Source organism: Homo sapiens, chromosome 5, assembly GCF_000001405.40.
Source record: "Homo sapiens chromosome 5, GRCh38.p14 Primary Assembly".
Lineage (NCBI taxonomy): Eukaryota > Metazoa > Chordata > Mammalia > Primates > Hominidae > Homo > Homo sapiens.
The window spans coordinates 68,057,036-68,063,035 of record NC_000005.10 but is presented as its reverse complement, the minus strand read 5'-3'; positions in this window follow the sequence as shown (position 1 = coordinate 68,063,035).

Genomic DNA, 6,000 nt, shown 5'->3' with positions numbered 1-6,000 from the left:
TTCTGATGGTAGTTTGTTTTTCTGTGGGATCGGTGGTGGTATCCCCTTTATCATTTTTATTGCATCTATTTGATTCTTCTCTCTTTTCTTCTTTATTAGTCTTGCTAGTGTTCTATCAATTTTGTTGCTCTTTTCAAAAAACCAGCTCCTGGATTCATTGATTTTTTTGAAGGTTTTTTTGTGTCTCTATCTTCCTCAGTTCTGCTCTGCTCTTAGTTATTTCTTGCCTTCTGCTAGCTTTCGAATGTATTTGCTCTTGCTTTTCTAGTTCCTTTAATTGTGATGTTAGGGTATTGATTTTAGATCTTTCCTGCTTTCTCTTATGGACATTTAGTGCTATAAATTTCCCTCTACATACTGCTTTAAATGTGCCCCAGAGATTCTGCTATATTGTGTCTTTGTTCTCATTGGTTTCTCAAAGATCTCAAAGAAGATCTTTATTTCTGTCTTCATTTCATTATGTACCCAGTAGTCATTCACGAGCAGGTTGTTCAGTTTCCATGCAGTTTAGTGATTTTGAGTGAATTTCTTAATCCTGAGTTATAGTTTGATTGCACTGTGGTCTGAGAGACAGTTTGTTATAATTTCTGTTTTTTTACATTTGCTGAGGAGTGCTTTACTTCCAACTATGTGGTCAATTTTGGAATAAGTGTGATGTGGTGCTGAGAAGAATGTATATTCTGTTGATTTGGGGTGGAGAGTTCTGTAGATGTCTATTAATTCTGCTTGGTGCAGAGCTGAGTCAATTCCTGGATATCCTTGTTAACTTTCTGTCTCGTTGATCTGTCTAATGTTGACAGTGGGGTGTTAAAGTCTCCCATTATTATTGTGTGTGAGTCTAAGTCTCTTTGTAGGTCTCTAAGGATTTGCTTTATGAATGTGAGTGCCCCTGTATTGGGTGCATATATATTTAAGATAGTTAGCTCTTCTTTTTGAATTGATCCCTTTACCATTATGTAATGGCCTTCTTTGTCTCTTTTGATCTTTGTTGGTTTAAAGTCTGTTTTATCAGAAACTAGGATTGCAACCCCTGCTTTTTTTTGTTTTCCATTTGCTTGGTAGATCTTCTTACCTCCCTTTATTTTGAGTCTATGTGTGTCTCTGCACATGAGATGGGTCTCCTGAATACAGCACACTGATGGGTCTTGACTCTTTATCCAGTTTGCCAGTCTGTGTCTTTTAATTGGAGGATTTAGCCCATTTACATTTAAGGTTAATATTGTTAGGTACGAATTTGATCCTGTCATTATGATGTTAGCTGGTTATTTTGCTCGTTAGTTGATGCAGTTTCTTCCTAGCATCCATGGTCTTTACAACTTGGCATGTTTTTGCAGTGGCTGGTACCAGTTGTTCCTTTCCATGTTTAGTGCTTCCTTCAGGAGCTCTTGTAATGCAGGCCTGGTGGTGACAAAGTCTTTCAGCATTTGCTTGTCTGTAAAGCATTTTATTTCTCCTTCACTTATGAGGCTTAGTTTGGCTGGATATGAAATTCTGGATTGAAAATTCTTTTCTTTAAGAACATTGTCTCTTGGCCCCCAGTCTCTTCTGGCTTGTAGAGTTTCTGTGGAGAGATCTGCTGTTAGTCTGATGGGCTTCCCTTTGTGGGTAACCCAACCTTTCTCTCTGGCTGCCTTACCATTTTTTCCTTCATTTCAAACTTGGTGAATCTGACAATTATGTGTCTTGGGGTTGGTCTTCTCAAGGAGTATCTTTGTGGTGTTCTCTGTATTTCCTGAATTTGAATGTTGGCCTGTCTTGCTAGGTTCCTCTAGCCTCTTTTATAAGGGCACTAATCTACTCATGAGGGTGCAGTCCTCATTACTTAGTTACTTGCCAAAAGGCTCTTAATACTATCACACTGAGTACTAAGTAACAATAGATGAATTTTGGCAGCTACCAACATTTGAACTATATCATCAATGTAAGCAAAGAGGTAAATCCGAAGAAAGAACCAACAATAAATACTAGAGATAAAAAGAACTGTAATGGCCAGGTGCAGTGGCTCATGTCTGTAATCTCAGCACTTTGGGAGGCGGTGGATCACCTGAGGTTAGGAGTTTGAGTCCAGCCTGGCCAATATGGCAAAATCCTGTCTCTACTAAAAGTACAAAAATTAGCCGGGTGTGGTGGCAGGTGCCTGTAATCCCAGCTACTTGGGAGGCTGAAGAGGGAGAATTGCTTGAACCCGGGAGGTGGAGGTTGCAGTGAACCGAGATCATGCCATTGCACTCCAGCCTGGTGACAAGAGCAAACTCTGTCTCAAAAACAAAACAAACAAAACAAACAAGCAAACAAAAAAACACTGTAATAAAATGAAGAATGCCTGGACATGGCTAAGGAAAGAATCTCTGAGCTTAAGGATGTTTCAATGGAAACCTCCTGAAAAGCAGAAAGAACAAAGACTAAGAAGAAACAGAACAGAATATTCTAGAACTATGGAACTGCTACAGAAGTTGCGACATATGCATAATGGAAGTACCAGGAGGATTTGCCAGAAGAGAGAAGGAAATACCAGAAGAGAGAAGGGAAGAAAGCAATAGAAGGAATGTTTGGAACAATAATGACTGAGAATTTCCCCAAATTAGTGTCAGACACCAAATCACAAATCTAGGAAGCTCATAGAATACCAAGCAAGATAAATGTTCAAAAAATACCCACAAAAGGATAAAACAAAAAACAAAACCGAAGAATGACACTAGGTATATTATTCTTAAATCAAGGTAAAGGTTGAAAGAAGCCAGAGGAAAAAAATCCCCTGACCTATGGGGAAGCAAAGAATTACATCTGACAGCTCAGAAAACAGATGTGCAAGAAGAGAGTGGAGTAAAATGTTTAAAGCATAAAGAAAAACAAACAAGCAAACAAAAAACTCAACCTAGAATTCTGCACCCTGCAAAACTGTCCTTCAAAAGTGAAAAAACCAAACAAAACAAAATTTCTCGTACAAAACGGGAATTTGTTGAGGGAATTTGTTCCCGGTAAACGTGCCTTGCAAGAAATGTTAAAAGAAATTCTTCAGAGAGAAGGAATATAATATAAGTCTGCAACTTGGATCTACACAAAAAAAGGAAGAGCATTGAAGAAGATATAGTTGAAGGTAAAATAAAAACTTTATTTGGGAGGCCGAGGCAGGTGGATCACCTGAGGTTGGGAGTTGGAGACCAGCCCGACCAACATAGAGAAACCCTGTCTCTACTGAAAATACAAAATTATCCCGGTGTGGTGGTGCATGCCTGGAGTCCCAGCTACTCGGGAGGCTGAGGCAGGAGAATCGCTTGAACCTGGGAGGTGGAGGTTGTGGTGAGCTGAGATCGCGCCACTGCACTCCAACCTGGGCAAGAAGAGCGAAGCTCCATCTCAATAAATAAATAAATATATGAGTGAATGAATAAATAAATAAATAAAAACTTTATTTTTCTTACCTTTAATTGATCTAACAGATACCTGTTCAAAATAATAATAACAGCAACAATGCATGTGATTCTGTATGCTTATGTATATCTTCTGTGTGCATATATGCATATGTATGTGTATATATAACTAAAATAAGTGAAGCAATGATACAAGGGATGAGAGGAAGGAATTAGGATTATTTTGTTACATTATTTAAAAAAAGGGTTATTTGTAGGTGAGCTTGGTCATAGAGATCTACAGTACAGCATAGTTAACAATACTGCATTCTTATTTTTTTACATATTTAATATATTATAAATAGAGATGGAGTCTTGCTATATTGTCCAGGCTGGTCTCAAACTCCTGGATTCAAGCTATCCTCCCACCTTGGACTCCCAAAGTGCTGAGATTACAGGTGTGAGCCACTGTGCCCAGCCAACAATATGGTATTTTATACATAAAATTGTTAAAGAAGGTATACTTTATGTTAAGTGTTTTTATCACAACAATGATAAAAACTAAGAAAGTGGAAGGAAACTTCTGAAAATGATGGATAGGTTATGGCACAGATTGTGATCATGGTTTCATGGGCATATATTTATCTCCAAACTTATCAAGTTGTACACATATTATATATACAGCTTTTTCTATGTCAATTATACCTTAATAAAGTCATTTAAAAATCATACAAATAACATATAACTATGTAATCATTTAAAAATTAAAATACTCTACTTCATTTTCCCATTTTATTTCTACACTCTAGAACCAATCACTGCTAATGATATGATATGTGTAGCTCTCAAATATTGAATTAATTTACATGCATACCTATATAAAAGTGTAAATATAAATTTTTGGACATATAAACAATATCATGTTAGATTATGCATAATCTATGAAAAACTCAAGAAGTATGACCTTGGAAGAATCACAACCATGATCCTCCCAATACCCCTTGTTTTATGGGAAACTGAAGCCTGATAATACAGCTGAGACCAACTCTGTCCTCCAGGAAGATAAGAATGGTGAGAACAAATACATTTTCATATTTCTAGATTTCTAAAAAGTTGTGGAAAGGTCACATTCAGTTGGATGGATTAAATAGTTTGTGTTGAGATAACAGCTGCAGACAGTGATTCCTGGACCTAACCTTATCAAAGACTTCAAAACATGTTGTAAATGTATAACACCTATTTTTTATTCACTATAACTTACTTTTCTAAAAGTGTCCAATGATATCTCAACAGGTTGAGGCTTTATGCTGTGGCTGGAGTAGGAGGGAGGGATTGTTGTGCCTTAGGAGGAATTGATATTACAAATTTGAATCTACTCTAGTTCCAGACTCCAAATCTGGATTAGTTAGCGCAACCTCTTACTCCTGTAGCAGCGTGGCTATATCTTTATCATAGCAAGCTTTGCACTACAAAATAAGCTGTGCAAGAGCTGGGATTAGTGTCTGCTCTGATCTGCTGTGTCCTAGCACCTAGAACATTGGTGCCTAGCAGGTGTTCAATAGACACTTGTTCAGTGATACTTATTTTACCGCATTCTTTGTTATACTGTAAGCTCTTTGGTGGTATGGATCATAATATATTCATCTTTATAGTTCTGCAACTTATATTGGTACATGATTGGTGCTCAAAAATATTTGCTGAATATTATATAAATAGAAAAATAAGTGAATAGATAAAGGAATAAATACATGAATGAATAAAACAAACATAGGCTTTTAACATCAGGAATAGATACTCATTGTTGATCAAGGAAACCAGCCTAGACTCCAGTTAGAAGTCGGAACTGGTGGCTTCTTTGATTTTCTTTTAGGGCCTGACTCTTACTTTTCCCTCATGTACCATGGCATGCTATCCTTTCCTTTATAAAGAAAACCCTGGATTCTTCAAAAATGATAAGGAATGCATAATTTTTAACTGATTCTTTTAAAGGAACTCCTCTTCAGGAGCCATACTTCAGTAACAGTTTATTTCCAAGATTTTCTGCATGTTCTACACACCACATGCCAAGGGCTCATGTTTTATATCAGACAAGATACGATCATTTTCATTTTCACATTTTTTAGATTACCTCTGAAAATGTACATGAGTATCCATATGCAGATTATAATTTTATTTATATAGCTATTGCCAATGAGTTTGCTCCTGGATGAGAGTGAGAAAGAATTAAGGAAGTACATGAATAGCCCTCTCAGGAAGATAGGAATTCCTTGTATCAAAAGGTCAAAGCAGCCCGCAATAATTCTTGTCTCTTATCTCCTCCACAATTTACTCTCAAGAAGTTGCTACTTCAGAGGTTTCCAAAGCTTTCATCACCAATGCAGGAGTGCTTTAGGAGTATTTTCTTTTTAGGAGTATTTTCCATGTACACGGATCCTATGTTTTCACAGATTTACCTAGAAACATTTACGAGAACTTGTTAATTATTTGTTTCAAATATTTTATTTACAGAAAACATCTATAACTACCACTCAGATCTATAGCAAATAGATACTGTCTGTTAGAATTTTTGAAATACTGAAAATAGTGTATGAGTCTTTATCACCACCTTTATGGACTTCTATGGACCTAGGGACTAGCTATTTATAGAGTT